Source organism: Homo sapiens, chromosome 13 (assembly GCF_000001405.40).
Source record: "Homo sapiens chromosome 13, GRCh38.p14 Primary Assembly".
NCBI classification, from domain to species: domain Eukaryota; kingdom Metazoa; phylum Chordata; class Mammalia; order Primates; family Hominidae; genus Homo; species Homo sapiens.
Window position 1 is genome coordinate 22094465 of NC_000013.11, and position 23056 is coordinate 22117520.

The following is a 23056-nucleotide window of genomic DNA, read 5'->3' on the forward strand; positions in this document are numbered from 1 at the left end:
GGTTAAAGGACTGAAACAAATCACGCTACCTCCCCCTGCACAATATTTTCATGGGATAAAAATGCCCTTAAGATGAACATCAAAGGCAACTCTAAAAGTGAAAAGTAATAACAAGGCTATTTGTTATTACTAAATTGCTTGTTTGGAATAAAGAAGGGGTACCCATTCTGCATGTGCTAGTGAGAGTGCTGGTTTATAGGTCAACTCTTAGGCACAGACTTTTCAGCACTTAAAAAATCGCCAGCTGAGCATCCCCTTCCACCTCTTCTACCCTTTGAATGTCATTGACCCACCAACACCACCACAGGGCTCTGAAGACTGCTCTTGTGATACCACAGATAATCAAACACACAACACGAGCAGTGGGGACACTCCTGACCGAGAGACAGAGTGCAGAGGACAGACACCCGGACCTGTGCCCAGTATCAAAAGCACTAACAGAGCGGCGCTTCCCGTGTTCACTGGACATGCAGTGTTCATATTAGGACTAGTTCTAGTTGGACATCTTGCTGTTTCCACATTTGTTTTAGTGGCTCTTCATCGTGTTTACATTTGTCTTATTTTTGGGCTATTTCTATAACCAAGTGACTATTTGATTAAGATTTATCCATTCCATAAATATGCCCATTTCATTCAACATGCTACCAACAAGTTTTTGGCAAGTCCTACTATGTGGCCAGTGGTCACACAGATTAAAGTCAAATTCATGCAGAATCCTGGCTTGCAGACAAAGTTTTTATCTTTTCTCTGCAATGACTCATCCTCACTTTCCAGAGGTACCTGGTGCAGCCATGGGTCTGCTCTCCCCATCTCCCATCAATATTTGCTCCTAGGGCAATCTCAGTCATACTTTTGAAATTATATGTTGCTCAAACTGTTTGTTTAAAAACATTTAAAACATTCAGTTAAGAGGCAAGTCTAAAACAGTGTCTCTGAGCATTCATTACATTAGAATAATGGAGGTGATTTGAAACAGTAGAGGTGGGGGTAAGGAATATGTCTGGCCCCTCCAGTCTGTGGATTTCTGTCTTTGCAGATGTGTAAGTGCAGATCTGCCCAGGACTGTCCAATGTTGGGGCTTCTTTCAAGAGCAAGGTTCTAGCGTCATCAGGAGATGGAAGAAAGTTATATTGATATACACTGTTACACAAAAGGTAGTATTTTGGATGCCAAGTATAAGATATTGCAGCAAATTCTGTGTCCTCTGTCTTCGGAGCCACCTACTATTTAACCGCTCGTGATCAAAGGCTTTTTTCCCTTTTTATTCTTGTGGTACTTTCTGGTGTCCATTCACCCTAGCCAGGATGAGCAGGTCTACCCAATAGCATTTTTTATTATAGACAGTTCTTCGTACATTATTGCACTTAACAGATTTACAGAGAGCACCTTTTTTGTTTTCAAGACTGAGATTATTGTTCAATCTTTTATACTTGTGTTGACTTACACTCTGTTGTAAAATTTGAAGGAGGGTAAATGCATAATCAGTTTTAATGACCTACGTTATGCAAGTTACAATCTGATTGGCAGTGAAGATAAGTTTAAATGCAAACAAATGGCAGATGTTAATCTCTGCCTCCTTAGCTTTCAGGTGGTAGGTGTAGGACACTTCTGGCTTGCAGTTCCCAGGTGATGCTTGCTTGACTTTGTTGTCAGCACCTGCATTAGTCCGTGCTTCATTGGTATAAAGAAATACCTGAGACTGGGTAATTTATAAAGGAAAGAGGTTAATTGGCTCACAGTTCTGCAGGCTGTACAGGAGGCGTAATGCTGGAATCTACTTGGCTTCTGGAGAGGCCACAGGAAACTTACAATGGTGGCAGAAAGTGAAGGGGAAGCAGGTACATCTTACAAGATGGGAGCAGCTGCAAGGGGTGGTAGGAGGTGCTACGCACTTTTAAACAAGCAGATCTCACAAGAACTCACTATCACGAGAACAGCACCAAGAGGATGGTGTGAAACTATTTATGAAGGATCCACCCCCATGATCCAATCACCTCCCAGCAGGCCCCACCTCCAACAATGGAGATTACAATTGAACATGAGATGTGGTTGGGGACACAGATCCAAACCATATCAGCGCCCCTCAGTGTGTGTGGTGGAATCTGGCTCTAGAGTGGCCCATTTCGGCAAATGAACTGGAGATATTACAGATGGAACTTACTCTGATTTCCTGCACTAAACCCAGCTCTTCATATTTTCTTCATGGGTCACTTGGACATTTTTTTCCCAACATACATTTAATTGTAGTGTGATTCCTTCTGGGCAGCAGAAACTTCAGATATCCATAGATAATTTATTCCGTCAAATCCATAGCTATGGGTTCTTGAGGCTTCTCCCTACATCAAATTATGAGGCAGTATGAGCCATCCACACAGAGCACTCAGAGCCCACTCCTGGGCAAGTCTGTGGAGTGTATTGCTTGGTGGAGAGTGCTTCGGACAGGAAAAGGGGAGCTTCCTCCATGCCTTCTCTTCTGATTGGTGGCCCAACCCCAGTGTCCTTTCCCATCCTGCCATGTTTTTTTATGGCATGCCCCACCTGGTCTCAGTTGTCATCTCTGGCTTCAGGCTTCATGAAGGCCCTTTATGCTCAAGATTAATGTGAACTGCTTCTCTGGACACTATAACAGGGAACTAACCTACAGAAACTAGGAGGGGAACAACCTGAGTTTAGCTGCTAGACACATTTAGGACACATTTTAAAATTACATGCACAAAATTATGTATTCCAGTTTCCTGAAAACTTAGCAAAAGCAATGCCTTTGGGCTATGAGTTTAAAACATGACAACCATTTTAATTTTCCTTTTGCATAGAATGAGGAAATGTGGGACCATCACTCGTGATTTGGGAGGTGGGACCGTGTAAAGACCGCAAACAGCGGAGTTTCTACATTGGTGGCTCATATGCAGTTTGTGTCTACTTGCTTTTCATCATCATTCTCATATAGGAGACCAGCTCTCTATCCTCGGCCAAACTGTGCTTTCGGTATAGGAAAAGTAAATGTTCTTTATTTGCATAGTTAAGTGTGTAATGCAAATAACATCGTTTCATCTTTGACTAAACAACTCTGCTTCTGAATTTGGGCACATCACCTAACACGTTCATGCTTTGTGAAAGAAACTCTAAAGCAGCAGTTTTCAAACATGCTTGATTTTGATTAAAAGTTAGAATTACATTTAACATCGTAATCCAATACCCATGCCAATGTGACACATGCACTACTATTATTCTATTTTCTGTTTCATTCTATTCTACTCTACTTCATTGAAGAAATGTTATCTATGAGGCACTAACTTGATTTCATAACCTGTTAATAGGCTACGGTGTACAATTCCAATCCCCTGGAAACTGTTCTCTCTGTGACTATATACTGCTTATCGATGGTGTAGGGGAAACTCTGGGTTGAAGCAGTCACCTCTAGAACCTCTGGGGGGCCGTGACCGGCAGAGATGCATGCACACCGGCTGTTTTGACTACTTCTCTGTGGGTTCCCAGTTGTGCACTGTGACAGGAAGGAAAAGCCAGGAAGGATTTTGCTGCCCCTTTACAGTTGCGAAAGTGTCTCTGTGCAACCTTTGAAAATGGACAAGGGATAGCTGCCCTCTGGTTAAGGCAACACACACCATGTGCACCTGAGATACACTTGCCTTGATTTTGCTGCATCCCTGAATGGGAAACATAATCTGCCTACCTTCGACAGTCATGACCACTTACCTAGTCTCTTCCATGGTAGCAGACCCGTTCCTGCCCCAGACACTGTTTTCACACTAATGTGGAGCCTCAGACACACTGTGCTCCACACTGTGCTGCCACCTTCCTCTGAAAATCCAAATTTTGGTTCATTTGCCTGCAGTTTCCTTTGCTCTCTACCCCTTACCCCGTGCCTTAGCTAGCTGGATTGACCACTGAAACAGTGGCCCTCTGGTTCTTGCTCTGGTTACCAGCACCTGACCGCAGGGAGTGTCATGCTTCTTCATGTGCATGCTTGTCCTGAAGGATGAGCGGGCATTGCTTTCTGCTATGATCTGGGAGGCACTGAGTGTGAATACGGGCCACGGAGGAAACCAGATAGACCAACCCTGTGGACAGCAAGCCTGGGACCATCCACAGGAGCTTTTGCATTGAAGATGGCAGGAACATTATTCATGGCAGCATGTCTGTGGAGAGTGCAGGGACATGCTGCACTTTGAGCTGCACTTGGAGCTGGGAGCACCTCCAGCTCCAAGAGTTACCCTCTAGATTACAAGGGAAATCCAGACATGTTTCAGAGGCCAATCCAGCTGCCTAAGGCACAGGATAAGGGGTAGAGAGCAAAGGAAACTGCTGGAAATTGAACCACACTTTGGGTTTTCAGATGAAGGTAGCCGCACAGGGTGGAGAGCAGGGCCTGTCTGAGGCTCCACATTAGTGTGAGGATAGTATCGGGGGCAGCCCTTGTCTGCCAACATCATTGAACTTTTGTCATTGTGCCAACATTGATTTCTTACACCTTTTTGTCCCATATTGGGATGAAATATTTTCACCTGATAGTAGCACATGACATTGTACAGGGAGCACTTCCAGCTCCAAGAGTTCCTCTCTAGATTACAAGGAAGTTGATGGAAATAACTAGATTTGTTAGAGCATGGTCTCCTGCCCATGGAAGGGAGGAGAGTAGAGTGGGGAAGCATGCTGGCCTGCCCTCTGTCACACATTGCAATCCACCAGTTCCTTGGGGGTGAAAATACAGGCCAGTCCTCTTCTCTGCACTCCCGACAGACATGCTACCATACATAATGTTCCTGCCATCTTCAATGCAAAAGCTTTTGTGGATGGTCCCAGGCTTGCTGTCCATAGGGTTGGTCTCCGTGGTTTCCTCTGTGGCCTGTATTCACATTCAGTGCCTCCCAGATTATAGCAGCCACTGGCTCTGAGTGCCAGTATTGCACAGAATGCATGAGGAGGTCATCAGAAGCCTATTTGAATTTGAAACCAACAAGACAAATCCCGTTTGCTTGAAACACTCAATGATCTCCCCAATAAGGCCTCACTGGACCCTGCTGAGCTTGAAGGCAATGAAGGTGTGCTGACTGTTGGCCATGGTCCCACTAGCTGCTTTGGCATTACCTTTGACTGCCACTACCAGCACTGAAAATGCCCCTGGCCCTACATGCTTTCAGGCAGTGGCCATCTAGCATCCATGGTGATCCCCACTCACAGCTCCCAAAGAATGAGCAGGCATTGCCACCAACATTGGGAAATCATACAGTCAATACTCATTTGTCCTATATTTCTGCCAAGAAGATAACCATGAGCAATCAGTAATACTGTATAGGCCTATCTTAGGATTTCTGTAAGAGCTGTTTCTAGCTTCATTTAAAAAAGTGTTTTCTCATAGCCAAGTATGTTTTTATATGTTTCTAATGAAGTGTGAGGTGCTCTGATAGCTGTCAACAATGGCAAGGCAGTGTACTTGTTCTTAGGGAACATTGTTTAAATTGCTGTACAGAGGAATATGCATAGCTTTGAATGTAATTAGGAGGCAATGAACAATAAAGGGGAAAATATTGGGTTAACACACTTAATTTAGAACAAAGACCATCATCATTATTGTCATCATCACAAATATCATCTGCTATGCTTTGAATATCCCCTCCAAAACTCAATGTTGAAATTTAGTTGCCCATGTTATGGTATTGGGAGGTGAGGCTTTCAAGAGGTGATTAGAGCCCTCATGAGTGGGTTAATAATGTTATTGTGCAAGTGGGTTATTGGAAAAGTGGGTCCCTGCAAAAAGGATGAGTTTGGCCCAGTTTTCTCTCTCAGCCTCATGCTTGTGCTTCCCCCTTTTGCTTTCCACCGTAGGATGACTCTTGCCAGATGCTGGCACCATGCTCTTGGACTTTCCAGCCTCCAGAACCATGGTCCAAATAAAGTTCTATTTTCTATAAAATTATCCAGTCTGTTATATTCTCTTATAGCAGCAGAACATGGACTAAGACAAAACATTGGTGCTGAGAGGTGGGCTTATTGCTGTAGCAAATACCTAAAAATGTGAAAGTGGCCTTGGCAATGGTTAATGAATAGAGGCTAGAAGAATTTGGAGGTGCAGGCTAGACAAGCCTAAATTGCTGTAAATGGAGCATTAAGGGTAATTCTGGTGAGGGCTCAGGAGAAGAGGAGACCTGTAGGGAAAGTATAAATCTTAGAGATTACTTAAGTGGTTGTGACTAGAATGTTGGTAGAAATATAAACAGTAAAGGCCATTCTGATGAGGTCTCATGGAAATGAGGAACAAAGTATTAGAAACTGGAATAAAGGCCATCCTTGTTATAAGGTGACAAATAACTTGGATGAATTCTGTCCATGCCTGTGGGTTTTATGGAAGGCAGAATGTAGGAGCAATAAAGTAGGCTATCTGGTGGAAGACATTTCTAAGCAAAATATTAAAGAAGCTGAGTGGCTATATTCAACCCATACAGTAAGATGCAAAAGGCAAGAAATGACTTAAAGAAGCAATTTATAACTTAAAAAGAAGCAGAACAGGAATATTTTGAAAATGTTCATCCTGTCATGTAAAGAATGAAAAAGCATGTTCAGAAGAGCAAACCAAGGATATGGCCAAGTGACCCTTTGCTAAGGAGATTAGTATAGATAGAAAGGATCTCAAGACAATGGGAGAGTGTTCCCAGACACATTTCAGAGCGCTTTGGGACTGCACCCCCATCACGGGCCCAGAGCTCTATAGGGGCAGAATGGTTTTGGGGAACAAGCTGGTTTTGGCATGAGCTTGTTTCCCAGAGCCCCCTAGGGTCTCTGCTCCCTGCATTCTGTCACAGTTCTCCTTGATCATCCCAGTTATGGCTCAAGTGGGTCCAGGTGCTGCTTGACCCACCAACCTGTAAGGTGTAAGCCATAAACCTTGGCAGTATCTATGTTGCTGACTCTGGAGATGGGCAGAACGCAAGGACTATGGGACCAAGGCAGCCTCCAGCTAAATTTCAGAAGATGTGGTCAACAGCTTGGAGACCCAGTCAGAGACACCACAGGGTTGGAGCCACAGCAGCGAGCTCCTGCCCCTACTTTGGCAATCCTGAGTAGTAGTTGGGGTTGGAACTACCACAGAGTTACTATTAGGGCTACCACAGAGTTACTAGTGGGGCTGTGGAAGTGGGGCTGCCCTCGAACCCCCAGAACTACAGAGCTACTAGCATGCAGCTTCAGCCTGGAAGAGCTGCCTGGCGTAAAACTAACCGTGAGAGCTACTGGGTGGACTGAGTCCAGCAAAGCCTTAGGAGAGGGACTGCCTAAGGTCTTGGGCCCAACTCCCACCCCAGCGTGCCAAGGATGTGGGAAATAAGGTCAAAAGAGCTTATTTTGGAGCTTTAAGTCTTGGGGTTGTTTTCCTTGTTGGGTTTTACACTTAATTGGAACGAGTTACCCCTTTCTTTCTGCCCTTTTCTCCCATTTGGAATGAGAATGTCTATTCTATACCCATCTCACCTTTATATTTTGGAAATAGATAACTCGTTTTGATTTTATAGGCTCATACCTAGAGAGGAGTTTGCCTCGGGATGAACCATGCCTTGAGTCTCACCCATTCCTGATTTAGATGAGGCTCTAGACTTTAGACTTTTAAAATAATACTGGAAAAAGATAAGAACTTTGAGGTTATTGGGATGGAATGAAGGTATTTTGTATATGAGAAGAACATAAGTTTTGGGGGAGCTGGGGAGGCATGCTCTGGTTTGAATGTCTTCTTGAAAACTGATGTTAAAACATAATTGTCAATGCAACAGTGTTGGGAGGTGGGGCCTTTAAGAGCTGATTAGGTCATGAGGGCTCTGTTCTCATGAATGGATTAATGCCAATTTTTTGAGAGTGGGCATCTAATAAAAGGATGAGTTTGGCTGTCTTTTTCTCTCTGTCTTGAGGATATTTCCCTCTTCTGTCTTCCACTGTGGAGTGACCCTCGCCAGATGTCAGCAACATGCTGTAGAATTTTCAGCTTCCAGAAATGTGAGCCAAGCAAACTTATAAATTAGTCAGTCTGTGCTATTTTTTTATAGCAGCAGAAAAAGGACTAAGACATCATCATCTTCAAGAACTTATATTGATCATCTCTCTGTTATAGAAATTTGGCCCATTCTAAGATGATGATTTTGAATGCTTGTGATTGTTGCCAAGAAGTCTGTCCATAAATAAAACTCACAAATTTACACTGGCTCATTTTAAGTTTTCAAGATGTCCAACTCATCACCAGTTTCTCTCTCTCTCTCTCTCTCTCTTCCTTCCTTCCTTTCTCTCTCTTTCTTTCTCTTTCTTCTTTCTGTCTCTTCCTTTCCTTTCCTTTCCTTCCAAATGCCAAACTCAAGCACAATTTTTTTTATTAATTAAAACAATAATTCACATGTTGGTTTTATGTCAGACTTGTGGCATTTTCTTCCCTGATGTATATTCGTAGTGCACCAGGATCCCCTTACGGTCAATGGGGTGATGAGCAAGGTGCCTAGGAGCACTGCCTCATTCTGCTTCTGCTCCCTTTGGGCAGCCTTCTCTTCTGGAAAACTTTGCTAACATAATGTTTGCCCAGGAGCACAGCTGCTGATGCTGCCTACACATGTAGCAAAGATAGTAGCTCAGATCTAGCCCAGGGTAAAAGGTGAAATGTTTGTCAATCAGGACAGCATCAATCTCCAACCAGTCGGTAAAAAGACACAAGTCAGAGTGCTGGGGCAAGCCTCATGAGGGCCCCCTGCTGGGGCCCTGGGATTCCTAGAAGAGTGGCTTGGCAGCAAGGGTGATAGGCGGGCACTCTGTGATTTAGGGTCAGTGGCTACTTCCCAGCCAGCACGGAAGTGCTGCAATATCTTAACACCTGGTACAGCCATCCCAGTGCCTACTGGCTGAATGGATGATACTGGATGATCGCATTGCAATCACTGCTTCACTTCTGACGTCAATTCAGGCAGGGTTATTTTTCATCCCTAGGAATGCTAAATGCTAAACACCACTGCTGCGAGGTATGCTGATTTGGGGATTAGTTTTTAGGTTTCCTCCCAAATGACGTGGACTGATATGGCTTTTATTTTTCTGAGGTTCACCCAGACTTAAGTGGGAAGAATGGACAACCAAAGAAAACATCTGAATCTCTGAAATACCATCTGACAATTGTCTCACTAATGTAATATTGATTCTAGGTAACAACAAATCCAAGTTATCCTCTATTTTTTAAAGTCTTGGTTATCTCATTATTGCAATGAGGTTATGACTGATCCTTCTGTCCAGAATGTTTTTGGTGAACTGCCATCTTATTTTACCAAAATGACTAATTCCTTTTGAAGGAGAAGTAACAAAAGATAGAGATGATTCTTTTGAGTGAGCCCTGTGTATGACTCGGTACTTAGTTGTGGAGGCTGTAGGGAGTGGCCTGGTAGTGCAGGCCTGGTGCAGGCTCAACCATGGGTGACAATAGCCCTGCTAGCTCTGCTAACTTTTCCTCGTTAGCCTTCCTGCAGCTACAGCACCAACAGGGCTCTCCGGCAGCAGTTGTGGAGACTTTCTGGCCTGACTTCTGTCTCCTGGCCGCTTGGCTTGGAGAGTAGCCATCATGGATTCTGCGTTTACTTACAACGTGCACTACAAGTTTGCGCAGCTAAACGTCTGAAGAAAATCCCCAGATAGAGCCTTTAGTGCTAGCAACTGAATTGGATCTCCAATATCAAGATAGGAGCATTTTGAGTCTAATGTGAGAGATACTTAGAGGATGTCTATGCCTTTGGTTGTTTTGTTGTTGTTTTGTTTTCCTGTGTTTTTCTTTTTTTTGACCGAGTTTCGCTCTGTCACCCAGGCTGAAGTGCAGTGGCATGATCTTGGTGGTTGTCTATACCTTTGTTGTTTTTTTGTTTGTTTGTTTGTTTGTTTGTTTGAGATGGAGTCTTGCTCTGTCACCCAGGCTGGAGTGCAGTGGCTTGATCTTGGCTCACTGCAACTTCTGCCTCCTGGGTTCAAGCAATTCTCCTGCCTCAGCCTCCCAAGTAGCTGGGATTACAGGTGTCTGCCACCACGCCTGGCTAATTTCTTTTTTGTATTTTTAGTAGAGATGGGGTTTCACCATGTTGGCCAAGTTGGTCTTGAACTTCCTGACCTCAGGTGATCCGTCTGCCTCGGCCTCCCAAAGTGTGAGGATTACATGCATGAGCCACCACGGCCAGCCACCTTTGGTTTTTTAAAACAGGTTCTTATTTCTTTGCTGAATAATTTCACTTTTAACTTCTCATGATGAAGAATTTCCAAGTGTTACAAAATGAGAGAGAATATAGACTAATGGACCTCCTGTGTACCGACACCCAGCTTTATCAATAATGTACACATGGCCCATCTCCTTGCACATAATCCCTACTCAGACAAATACCTCTAATACTGACTTTTTTTTGGAAGAGCCGATTGTGTTTAACAGTGATTTGGTAGAGTGAATCCATGGTAGTGCTAATATCAAGGTGCTTCTGTCATTGAGCGTAGTTGTTGTACAAGGGAGGCAGAGAAGGTGTGTGTCAGAGAAGCACAGAAAGGATGAATGACAGATACATCTAGATGGGAGCTGTTTTTTGTTTTTTGTTTTTTGTTTTTTTTGAGACTGAGTCTCGCGCTGTCACCCAGGCTGGAGTGCTGTGGCGCGATCTCGGCTCACTGCAAGCAATGGGAACTGTTTTAGAACAACAACTTCCAAATAGTGTCATTGAGTTGAGTAAGAACTTGAGGGAAAAAAGATGGAGGAATGCAGCTGGCTCTGGGGAAAATAAAATACTACCTGGGACAGAAAAAGAGAAAACTTGGGGAATAGCACGAACCGGAAGAGGACAGAATTACAAAGGCACACACAGTCACAAAAGTGTGCACATGTCTAAATGTAAATCCGGACAGCCCACTGCAAACCAGCAGGTAGAAATACGTTTTCTGAGAGCAATGAATGTAAGTCCCAGGGGCTAAAATCTGTAAAGGCCAAGCGTGCGTTTGTGTTTCCTGGAGGCCATTCCCTGTGTGAACAGGGATTAACTGTTTCCCCCAGCTACTGGTCTCTTTTCTATGTAACATCCTATCAGGTATTCTACTTGAATCTTCTATTTCAGATTTTGTTGGCATGTAATTGTCTTTCAATTTAGTTTGAGTGATGTTAATATTCTCAGAAAATCATCTATCTATATCTATATATCTTAACATAGCCTGCTGCATTCTCTTGGGCAATTTTACTATATCTTCAGGATGTGTCTTTTTTTTCCCCAAGACAGCACATCCATAATTAATTAAATGAACACTAAAGTCTCATTCATGCCTGTATTCATTCAATAAGTGGCCACTTAATGTCTATTAAGTGCAAGATACTGGTGGAGGGAAAGACGCCTGTGAGCCATGGTCATCTGAAGAGCATAGAGGCTGCTCAGGGCATAGGCGGCTGCAGGCAGGGCCATGTGGGAATGGTGGAGCCTCCATCAGTGCTCAGCATGTGCCCCGGCAGCAGGCGGGTGTGTTCAGGGGATCGAGGATGCACACCAAGGGTGCATCAGAGAAGCAGCGGGTAGCATGATCTTGCCTTCCAGGGTGCACTGAATTCACATTCCAGCTCTGTGGCTTATTGCTCCTGGAAATCTGGGATGAGTTAACTTCTTTCTACCTTACCTCCTTCATTTAGGATGCTCATAGTTGTATCTACCTCCTACAATTTGTGAGTTGTGAGTGAAAAAGTCAAGTGTTGTAAGGAAATGAGTGTGAAGTGTTGTAAGGAAATGAGTGTGAAGTGTTGTAAGGAAATGAGTGCCATGATCATTACTCTGCCTTGGCAAAGCGGGACCAGCTTCCGATATGGCCAGGAGGAGGACTGGGGCTAGGCCCTGGTAGGGGAGAGCAGGGTGCCTGGGGAGCTCAGGGAAAGGAAAGGTGGGCCCCCATTATGACACCCTGTTCAGGGTTTGGGGAGTGGCTGGACCGCCTTTTATATAGAGCACCCTTGACAGAAGTAACTCCATTTTAGGAAAAGACTCCTTACAGCTCAAAAGGCAGTCATGCCAACAGGACTGATACTCACCTAATCAGTAGAGGCGACACCCAACCAAAGGAGGGTGTAACCAGAACCTCTCTTTCCTGTCAGCTCTCACCAGAGGACTCCAGGGCTATCAGAAGAGCAGGAGCATCATGAGTTTGACGCGGCCATCCTGCTAATTCTGTTTTGCAGTCACTCGTGGTCAGCACCTGCATTTGCCCCTGAAGTCTCTGCCCAAATCAAAAACTCTTCCTTGCAAAATGTTGGTGACCATCTGGATCAGCTAGGACACTCAGCCTAGGAGAGTGTCACATCGCTTTCCTTGGACTAGTTCATTAACTCCTTTCCCTACCCTGTTTTCCTCTTAATGTTAAATTTTACTCTTTTTGATGTGAAAGCTTTAACCTATAACATTTCTATATTAAGTATACTACTATGTATGGCTTGCAGTATTAACTGACTTGTGGAGTGGCTGGAGCCTGTGTGCCACCAGGTCTGACTGCCTTGTGAATGCTTTGTGAATGGCGCTAAGGAGAATCGCCTCCTTGGGAACGCCATGTATCTCCTGGCTTTTATGATTGAAATAGCATCCATAAAAGTCTGACCTTGTGGAAAGACACGAACGTGTGTGGACCTGGTTATGTTTGACCTTGCGCCACTCATGACACATCCGGAAAAGAGAGCTAAGTCAGCTGAGTGGGGAAAGGCAATTTAAGAAGGAGAACACAGGTTGGAATGCATCTGGCAAGAGATGATGAGTGGGTCAGCCAGTGGATGGAGCCCCAAAGGAGGCAGCGGGAAGTGGCCCTGGCCTGCAGGGTTCAGGCGTCTGTTGCTTTGGGAACAGTGATGCTTTGATCCACTGCCTTTGAATCCTGGAGTTTTAGGAGAAGTCCTTGATAGTCACCAGCTTTCCCTTTAACAGCTTGAAAGTTGGAAAGGTGAGGTGCTGAGCCCAGGTCCACACAGCTGGTTCTGAGGAGCAGGCCAGTACTTGAGCTCAGTTTCGTGCATTCCTAGTCCCTTTGCCTTTCTTGCTTTTGCTGCCCGCCTTGTCAGGAGAATGAAAGAATCAATATGCGTGGAGTGCCCACCCTGTGCAAAGCAACAGCCTGTTCCCTTTAGACGAAGAAGGCAAGAATCCAGGCCAAGGGGTAAGCTGCTTCAGTGCTGTCATTCTACACGGTGACCAAGGTTGTTATTTTATATTCAACCTTCTTGTAAGGTCAGGGAATGACAACACATTATTCATCCTTTGATGTTTGCTAAGCAAATATAAAGTTTGTAAGTTGGCGTGAACCCAGTGTTGGTTTGAGAACTCTCAAATTGCAGCTTGCAGAGTTGTGGGTGAGGGTAAGAGATACAGAGATGTGATAAGGAAGGAGCATAGCAGATCTATGCAAAACTAACCATTTGTAAATTGCATGGAAAATTGTGTTTTTGCACTGTTGTGTTTTCCCTACTGCCTTTCATTGCATTTGTAAATGGGGTGCAGATTTAAGCCCCCAGTATTTGGCAGTCTTTAAAGATAGTCTGTTTTTGGTTTCGAAGAACTTCAGAACTGTGCTTCTTAACTTTATTAGGAAGACTATGCACATTTATGCTTTGAAGAAAATGAACGCGGATTAAAGATTAAGGAATTTGTGAAAATGGGAAGTCAGGGAATTTGCTCAGTTAGGACTGATGGAGAGGCTGAGTGACCTTAACATCAAAAGGAATGTCTCTATGTGATACTGTTTCCTGTCTGTTTCTGGGAGAGCATTTCAGTCACATTTTATCAAAGGCTTAATCTGCTGATTTTTGGTGAGTTTGTATGTTTTTTTCTTTCTTTTTTCTTTTTACTTCATAATAAAATTTTGAATTGACCTAAATCTGATAATTTATTCAAAATAAAGCCAAGGAGCTATTTTGCCTGAGGACACAGAGCTTGAAGGGGACAAGTGAACAGAGTGAGGAGAAAGGGCTTCTTTTCTTAGATTTGCTGTGACTCAGCCGAGATCCTGAGTGAATGACTCAATTTCTCTTTACTTTAGTTTCTCCATTTGTAAAACAATTTTAATAATACTCGGGATTGCTGCCTGTGAAATAACTTTATCCCCTCAGAAGAAATGAGCTATCAAAATACAATATGTGATTAGGCAATCTGTAGCTTTTGATTGTGTACTAAGGGGCCAAGTTTAGCAATATTTTTTTGGCCAGTGTTCTGAAGGAAATAGTTTGATTTTCACAATCAGTTGGGCTTACCAGCAAATAATGATCACAAAAGCTATGTGTCTGAGTAAAATACAAGTTATTTTCTAGCATGCTGGCTCCCACTGTTCCAGGCAGCTAAATATGTAGATGGTTGTTCAGCTTCACTGTTATTTTTTTGGTCTTGTCTCATCAGATACGCATTCCAAGAAATTAAGATTTGTTTCACCATTAAACTGACATTCTCAACTGCACTCCAATCAACTGGATAAAAGCAGAGAACCCATCAGAAGCTGTTTCTGGTTGACTATCACCTTTCAAAGAATATGTATTGGGAGAGAGCCTTCATACTTCTCAATTAGTGATTGTTAGAAATCACTAATGATGTATTGTAAGATGCTTTTCATGTCAAAGTGTTCCAAAACCCTTTGCAAGCGCACATATAAACAGGCATTACTTCACCGCCATTGAAATGCAGCCACCTCTTGGACAAAATGTGGCCGCTGTTTAATAATGCATAGCAACATTCCAAAACAATGGAGGCCTGGAAGTAAGGGGCAAACTTGCATCCAACTCAAATCACCTGGGAAGTTTTCTGGGCTGAGTTAGTTGTGCTGTAAGGGAGCTTTTGTAACTGCAGGAGGCCAGGACATTAGTTTGACGTCTGTTTAGGAAAGTAGGCTCCATTCTGCTCAGCACCCCTGGATCACGCTCACCTGTTAAATCATCCATGTCCCAGACTGTATGTAACTTGATGGACAGTCCTCTGAAATGGGGCCAGTTTTTGATACCAGCTGACAGAGGGGCTGGGCAGTATGGAGAGGTGGCCTTTCATGAGAGACAGGGTGGGCAGACCCCTGCAACAAGATTTGGAACTGGGAATGGTCCTGGGTGATAGAAAGCAGAGATTCATCCAATTCTTTCTGGTTACTGTAAAGTGTGTTCTCCAACTTTGGAAATCTTTCCCACAAATTCATTAACCTCTGGTCTATGCCATCCTTCATACTGATCTACTCTGATGGGCCACAGATCTTGAAAAAGAGCCAGAAAAAATGTCTCTTTTTGGACCAAAATTTGATTAGCAAAAATAGCTTATCCTTTAGGCAAAAGAATAACTCAATTTACAAGTAGATTAACCTGTTCTGAATAGGAAAATCAAAGCTCAATGACCACTTGTATTGCTTTACACCTTCTGTGGTCCCCAGGGTAGTGTGATTATTTTTATGGATAAAGAGGGAAGTCAACACAGCATACTAAAACTTACGGGATGCATTAGAAGAAGTGCTCACAGGGAAATTGATCGCTGTGCATGCATACATTAAAGAAAAATGAAAACCTCAATGTAATAACCTAGTCATACACCTTAAGGAACTAGGAAAAGAGGAGCAAATTAAACCTCAAACCAGCACAGGGAAGAAAATAAAGATTAGAGTGTAGAGAAGTAAAATAGAGAATAAAAAATTATAGAGAAAATCAAAACCACGAGTTGATTTTTTGGAAAGATCAAAGGGTTGACAAGCCTTTAGCTAGACTAAGAGGAGGAGAGTCCATCGTGGCAGGGTCTTTTTCTTTCATTCTGGGGGCTTGATGGGGCTGGGCTGGTCTCTTTTCTCACTCACAGAAAGATCTGGGAGTCTTTTCAGTGTTGTCTTGGATGACGGAGTGTAGTGGAGCATCCAAGACCCTTCCTGGGAGGCTGTGTGTCACAGGTCAAAGAAAACTGTGTGTCCTCCACACCCTAAATATTCTTATATGAACAAAAAAGGAAACACAAACATCCAAGGCCATCCTACAGTGGAAAAGAGCAGCCTGGAGCTGGGGCGGGGGCTGGCAGGCAGAGCCCGGGCTGAGTCAGATTAGGAGGAACATGCGGTGGTGGGGATGATGTTTGCAGAGTGATTGTCTAGCCAAGGTCTTGGCTAGAGCCATTGGCTGGTAGGGCCACTGCGGTCCCTACCCTGAATCACCCTGGAGCCCAGCAGCTGTCTTCTCAACATGCAGGAACCAGGGCTGTGGTTCCAATTCACCGTATCCTGGTGACAGTTCTGATTCTCCATGGAAAATTCCGTATTTCCCAACTAGGTCCAAATTAAATATTGACTTTACTAATTTTAAATTGTTTCACCCAGAGACATGTACTTTTATAAGGACATTCTGAAGAAATATTTTGAGTGATTGCTAAGGCACTTCTGCTAGACAAGGCTTCATGGAGGTGCAGTTGTGGGGAGCAGCAGAGATGTGCCTGCAGCAAGCATCCTGGCCTGTGGGAGGGGCAGCAAGAGCCTGGAACCCTGAAACACTGCCCCTGACCAGGCACGGGGCACAGCTGCTGGGCTCCTTTGGGGTGTTCACCGTGCATGTCTTGCGGAAGCTGTCCCCTCTGCCCTGCAGGACATCTCAGCGTCCTCTGAGTCCTGGTGATTTGTAGGCTCTTCTTCTGCCTGGCTGTGGATACACAGTGTTTCACGCCTGGGCTAGCCTTAGGGACTACCAAGGGTCCCCTTTCTCTGGGTGTCTTTCTTACCTAATCCACATTTCACTTCATCTCTACGGCGTGTCCAAAAGCAAAATTTCAACAAATGGAGTTGACAGATTGAGTTGACTGTTATTAGTCATAGCCCATCTAAAGATTTAGACGGGTGCTGCACTGGGCATGACAGTTGGTTTCTATAAGGCTGCTTGAGCAGGAGCAAGGAAATGGCATAATACAAAAAGCAGGTGGGCTAACATCTGGTGATTTCAGGTTGCTTTTCTCCAAAGGGTTAAAGCAGAGGGGATTTCCTTATCATGCTGGCTGAAAGTGGCTTCCTTAGAAATTTGGCTGTTATCTCTCCTGATTTCTCAGAAGGCCAGATAAACACTTTCATTTCTGTTTGGTGGCATGAAACTTTAGCCTGAGTGACTCCATTTTGGTGTGATCTGTTGAGGCGTAGTTTCGGAGCTCACTCCAAATCAATGGCCTCCCTTAAGTCATATTTAGCAAGTACCAGCAACGTATGTCTCCAGCACAACTGGTGGAACCAAGTTAGTTCCGTTTGACGATTGTTAGGATGTTCTCCAGTCACCTTCCCTGCCCCCTCACTTGATGTCAGGTCAATGTGTTATCTCACCCAGGAGAGCATTGTTCTTGAAAGCCATCCTCTACTCATAAAAAGCAGTGATTCTCCAGGGCATGTAAGGGAATTTGGTGTTTTTTCTGAATAGGAGGGAGAGACATCAACAGATGTATTGGAATGGATTGGGAGTTGGAGGTGATGAGACTGGAGTTTGGGATCCGTCCAGGAACCTAATAAGATGATCCTATAGAGAGACGTTGGGGTCTTATCAAAAGCGTTGGCCAGAGGAAACTGTTACCGGGAGCTACCACTCTTCCCTTCAAAAATGAAACTGACATTGACAGGATGAGGACATTTCTCCATAACGAATTCCAGGATCCTTTGTGGAATGCATGTGGCGGTGTAGGCACTGGGCTGGGAGTGGTATGCACAAGAAGGAGTGTGTCCTGGTTCTGCCCTCGGGGACCTCTCAGAAACTTGACGGAGACTTTCATGCTAACGCTGGTATAGCAAGCTCACCTGCATCGTAATTATGCGTTTCACACAGGCTTAATGAAATAGTAGACACAAAACGCAGGATAATTACTTAAAATTGAGGCAAGACATTTTCTTGTATCCTGTAAGTATTAATGTTTAGTGACCCAGACAAGCCTCTTTTAAACTTTTTTCTTTGAGCCATTTATAATATACCAAACTTTGTCTAGGAGGAAAAAAGTCACACTAGTTAGTCCTCATACTATCTTCTGTTCAATCAACCTACCTTGTCTCTTCTAGAAATTATTATTTCCACACTTAGTGCAAGCACAGTAAACACTTATTTAGTATTTTTATTCTTTAACCTTTTTAAAATTTCTATGAATATATAATAGTCATATTGTATTTTAAATATTAAAAATTATACTTATTCATTAGTATGCAAAGCAAAAGAAAACAAAACCCAGCGAAATGTTAGGCATCTTATTCTCTAGGATTTATTCATGTTGTAAAAAAATGGCTTGGCTTTTTGCTTAGATAGGAGCACTTGACCTGTGTTTGTGAATTTTGTAGGATTTCCTATGTCTTATTCTGCAGGCAGCATTGACAATCGCCGTGCATGCACCTTAGCATCTCTCTGTAGTGGATCAGCCAGGAATTGCTGACAAGGACCCCGCATGGATAAGGATGTATGTGTGGCCACAAGGAAATCTTTCCTGGCTGAGGCTGAGTTGGAGACCCTCTGTGTGCTTCCCTGTCACCTGGGCTCACCTGTCCTGACACTCCTGATTTGACCTGCTGCCTGAATGAGCCGCAGCTGATGGAGTGAGTAACAAAACGGAAAGCTTCCCTCTCTGTGCCCTCTCACAGGAGGGGATAATAGCTGTTGGTTTTCCAAGAATAGGCATTCTTAGACATGACTGGGATGACAACAATAACAGTTAATTATCAACAGAGAGGAAACTAAAAGAACTCAATGTCCTGACTTAAAGGAATGCGGGCAAAGGATAGTGGGTCAAACCCGCATTCGTAAGGGTTAGACTTTTCTATGTAAGTATTGAGTTGTGGAAGTCAGAATGTAATAATTATTAGTGATAGGGCCAGTAGGGTGTTGACTTACCTCATGGATTATATAAAACCCCTGGTCTTTGGCACCTTCCTAACATTGGACGTAGGTCACCCCTGCACAAGCAGCGAAGGAGCAAGCACTAAGATCTAACCTCCAAGTGCATGTCCAAGCTTAGCTTCTGTGACTTTTCTCCCAAAGCCTGACTCATCTACTCCCAGTCCCCGATGCATCTTACCTTTTGAGCGTGCTATGTAAGAATTTGCCCCCTCTCTGCCTGGCAGTAAATGTTGTCGGTGAAGTGGTTCCATCAACAGGAATTCACGTAGAGCAGTGGGGTTGTTGAAATATAAAACTTATTCTGATTCCTCTTTACTCAGAATTACTTCTGTTGTTCTAAGTTAGTCATGTGTAGAGACTACTGACAATGCTAAAATCATTCACTGGGCAGATTGAAATGCATTTTGTGGATGTTTTCTCTCTTAGAAAAATAATTGTTATCATTTGAATTTTTTTCTGCGTCTTAGAAATATTTTTCTCCTTGTGTTCCTGTATGATTGGTTTGGTGCACATCTTCACTTAACTCTCCACGATTCTCTCAGGTTCTGATGATATGAGAGACTGACTCCAATACCTCTGTGTCCCTAGGAGATTGTAATTGAAATGCGAGCTCTTAGCATTTTCTCTGTTTTGAGCTTAAAACTGAAGAACTAAAAAAAAAGGAATTATTAGAGACATCATTTTAAACATTCTTTCTCAATGGGTTTTCATAGATAGAGATGCTTTACTAAATGTTGAATTATTTTGGTAAGTGATTATACATCTTTACATTCAGGACAGGAGCCTTTCAATTTGTGTTTTTGTGTTGCTGAGGTCACTGTTTTTTGTTTGTTTGTTTGTTTGTTTTTCCGTTTGTGGGTGGGTATTTGGAGGTAAGAAAGGTGGTGAACTCAAGAGTAGAAGTCACAGAAGTTACATGACACTTTAAGTTTGAGAAAGGACTGAATGAGCCACGTTTAACAAAGTCAGACTTGTTACAGAAAAAGAAACAGAAAACCTTTAGAAAATGGCATATAGCTCATGCTTGTAATCCCAGCACTTTGGGTGGCTGAGGCAGGAAGACTGCTTGAGGCCAGGAGTTCAAAACCAGCCTGGGCAACATAGCGAGATTCTGTGTCTACAAAAAATAAAAATAAAAAATAAAAATAAAAAAAATTAGCTGGGCATGGTGGCAAACATTTATAGTCCCAGCTCCCTGTGGGGCTGAGGTGGGATTGTTTGAACCTGGGTAGTTGAGGCTACAGTGAGCCATGATCATGCTACTGTACTCCAGACTGGGTGACACAGTGAGGCCCTGTATCAAAAAAAAAAAAAAAAAAAAAGAAAATCGCAGAGTACAAAAACTAAGAGATGCATTCTGGAAAAATAACAAAACGTGCCGCCAGTCCTAACACCTCTATGTTTTGTATTTTAACCCCCTCCTTGGTTAAGTGAAGGGGAAGTGAAGACCACAGTGACTCGTTTCCTTTAGAAACACTGCTTATTGGCCTGACATCATGGAAAGAAATTTCCCCAGCTATTTTGGTAGTGGTGGTAATTCAACCCTGAATGTAAGAACTGAAACCTTCTCCCACATCTGAGGTCACCATAAACCATTGTGCAAGTCACTAACTCTTTGGCCATTTCAAGTCATTGTTTGTCTTTCTAACAACAGTCTCCATAAATCAGTCACTCGGGTGTTCTCAGGCATTGGAATGAAGTGTGAGTTTTCTCATCCTTGGAAATTAATTGAAATCAACCAGGAGGATCAGATGGCAAGGTGATGAAATCAGAGTCAAAGGAGGGATGGACTAAGAAGCGGAGCCTTGGCCTGCATGCTCCTCGAGGCCTCCGGTTCCCCTTTGCTGATGTGCTCTCCCCAGTGCAATTGAGTTTGTTTTCACTTCCTGTTATTCCAATAGGTCATCACTCTTGGTGTGTGAATGTTTGACCTCTCCCTGTTTCATTACCCAAACCACCGCCCCATCAAAACACCAGCAACAACTGCAGCTTTAGGAGAAGGATGCCAAGTTTGATTTGTTTTTTAGGTAAAGAGTCATCTGATTTTAGCAAGATGGTAACCTGGTGAATGTAAAAGTGAAAAGTTCAGCTCAACAAGGGCTATGTTTTTCTTGTAGATGTCAGAGGATATTTTTCAGATGGTTCTAAAGTGGTTTCTTTTCCTCAGGTGAATAGTAATACTTTGGACTATTTTCTTTGGGGTTATGGAGATAACCTGAAATTGCTCTTCCTTTATCTGAGTATGGTTTCCATGGTTGTACATAAAAGATGTGCTGTCATTACCGAAACACATAGAGGAAAATACCTATTTTCACTTGTATCCATTGCATGTGATTTTTTGGCTCTAGTTCATGAAATTGACCTGTCAGTGAAAAACATATTTCACTGGAGAAATGCCTAAGAAAGTGTTGTTATAACTAACATCCTATTCCTTCTGTTTCTACATCATGGAAAGGTGTGATGTTTTCAGTCTATGTTAAACATTTTCCCGGAGGTGTTTTGTACTAAGACGTTTATTCATTTGGAAAATGTTAGCGTAAAGTCCAAGGACTTTAGAATCAGATCCATTCCTCTGTGTATTAACTGGGCAGATTGGCTAATCTTTCTGATCATCAGATTCCAACATTCATAAAGTAGGAAGAACAATGTCTACTGTTCAAGGTCCTTACTGGGTTTAAAGGCAGTGCAGCTAAGGACACTGCCTGGCATGTTCCGGACATTCTTTCAGCCAGTGGAGGTTTTCTAGCCATGTTCTGACTCTTTTTATTTTTTTGGAGACCGAGTCTCGCTCTGTCTCCCAGGCTGGAGTAAAGTGATGCGATCTCAGCTTACTGCAACTTCCGCCTCCCAGGTTCAAACAGTTCTCCTGCCTCAGCCTCCCAAGTAGCTGGGATTACAGGTGCACACTGCCATGCCTAGCTAATTTTTGTATTTTAGTAGAGGTGGTGTTTCACCATGTTGGCCAAGGCTGGTCTCGAACTCCTGACCTCTGGTGATCCACCTGCCTCAGCCTCCCAAAGTGCTGGGGTTACAGGGGTGAGCCACGGCACCCGGCCATTCTGACTCTACACAGTGCTCCATTGAGTTTCTTACCACAGTTGTAATGCTGCTGGTGGTATGGTTACTAATTTGCTTGTCCTTTGCCAAAATTCATTTGGCTATTTTTATCAAGGAACAAAAGGGAGATACGGAGCCCCTCTGCTTTTGATGTGTAAACTCAGAGCCCTGTGATTTTTTAACATAGTTGAGGTGTTTGATATATAGAGTATTTAATGTGAAGATTCTTTTACAATTTGGTAAAATTGTTGTTTTGACTATTGGTCTGTTGCTTGACTATAAGACTGGGTGTTGAAATATCCTTATTCCAATGAATTTAAAAGCCATTTCTCCTGTGATAGAGGTAAATCATTTGAAACTGCACTTATATTGTCTCCAAAGGAATATTGCATTGTTCCTGAAGAAAAATCAGGTTATATTTCTTAGGATTTGGTAAACAATGAAGGTTACCATAGAATTTTAATGATGACAGCCTTGCAACACCCTTATCATTTTTTGTGTCTGACATTTTCTTTTTGGTGGCTTGCCCTGGTGATCTTTGTATCAGTAGTATCTGTTATCTGTGCCTTGTAGAATAAGCTTTCTGGGGTAGATGTTAATATTGAGCTCAGTACAAATTGATCCCATCAAAAAAACTTTCAAAGTCAGTTTCTTTGTTTTGATTTTCATAGTATAGTAATAAAAATGGCTTAAGTCAGGGGATCTAAGGCTGGGCTTGAGCAGATAAATTAACACACTTGTGGGAATTGGCTCTTGTCTTTAGGCGCCTCAGCTGGGAGTCATTTGTTTGGAATAGGCGACATTTGGCCTCTATCTAATAGTGGGAAATGGACGAGGATTTGAGTGGGCACAGGACCCAATGGGAGCAGATGCAGATGCCCACCAGGCTTGGAGGGCTCCAGAAAGACAGGGATGGGGGTGGGAGCAAAGACTGTAATGAGCTCACTCCAAAAGAAACGGGGCAGGCAGTTCCTGAAAGTGAATCGCCAACTGATTGGAGGGCAGTGCAGCTTATTTTAGAAATTGAACACAACTGGGCTCTTTGACAGAAAAGCGTGGCTGGGTAGGGGTGTGGAATTAAAAACTATCTTACCATTGTCCAGTAGGATGGGGAAGACTTGAGGGCAGACATTAGAG

The 23056-nt window shown here is 43.3% G+C and overlaps 1 long non-coding RNA gene and 2 pseudogenes across 3 annotated transcripts in view, besides 2 other annotated features; 1 reads left to right on the forward strand and 2 right to left on the reverse strand.

The window, feature by feature from the left end:
- Nucleotides 1-23056, forward strand: part of LOC105370108 (uncharacterized) — a 114586-nt gene that overhangs the window by 53494 nt on the left and 38036 nt on the right. For 2 of the 3 annotated variants that reach the window (XR_007063716.1, XR_007063715.1), the window contains one exon: nucleotides 1-21024. This exon is cut by the window's left edge and continues 20682 nt beyond it. The exons of the other annotated variant lie outside the window; for it this stretch is intronic. This is a non-coding gene — a long non-coding RNA (uncharacterized LOC105370108). Of the gene's footprint in view, nucleotides 21025-23056 lie in introns of those variants that run through there. 3 annotated transcript variants of the gene reach the window in all.
- Nucleotides 4699-5089, reverse strand: NME1P1 (NME/NM23 nucleoside diphosphate kinase 1 pseudogene 1; annotated as a pseudogene).
- Nucleotides 16549-16608: an enhancer, noted in NCBI's record as "active region_7444". NCBI's record gives its function as "activates an Ori minimal core promoter by ATAC-STARR-seq in GM12878 lymphoblastoid cells {active_cell/tissue: GM12878}" and the evidence as "EXISTENCE:reporter gene assay evidence [ECO:0000049][PMID:35858748]".
- Nucleotides 18655-18874, reverse strand: MTND3P1 (MT-ND3 pseudogene 1; annotated as a pseudogene).
- Nucleotides 20390-20729: an enhancer, noted in NCBI's record as "active region_7445". NCBI's record gives its function as "activates an Ori minimal core promoter by ATAC-STARR-seq in GM12878 lymphoblastoid cells {active_cell/tissue: GM12878}" and the evidence as "EXISTENCE:reporter gene assay evidence [ECO:0000049][PMID:35858748]".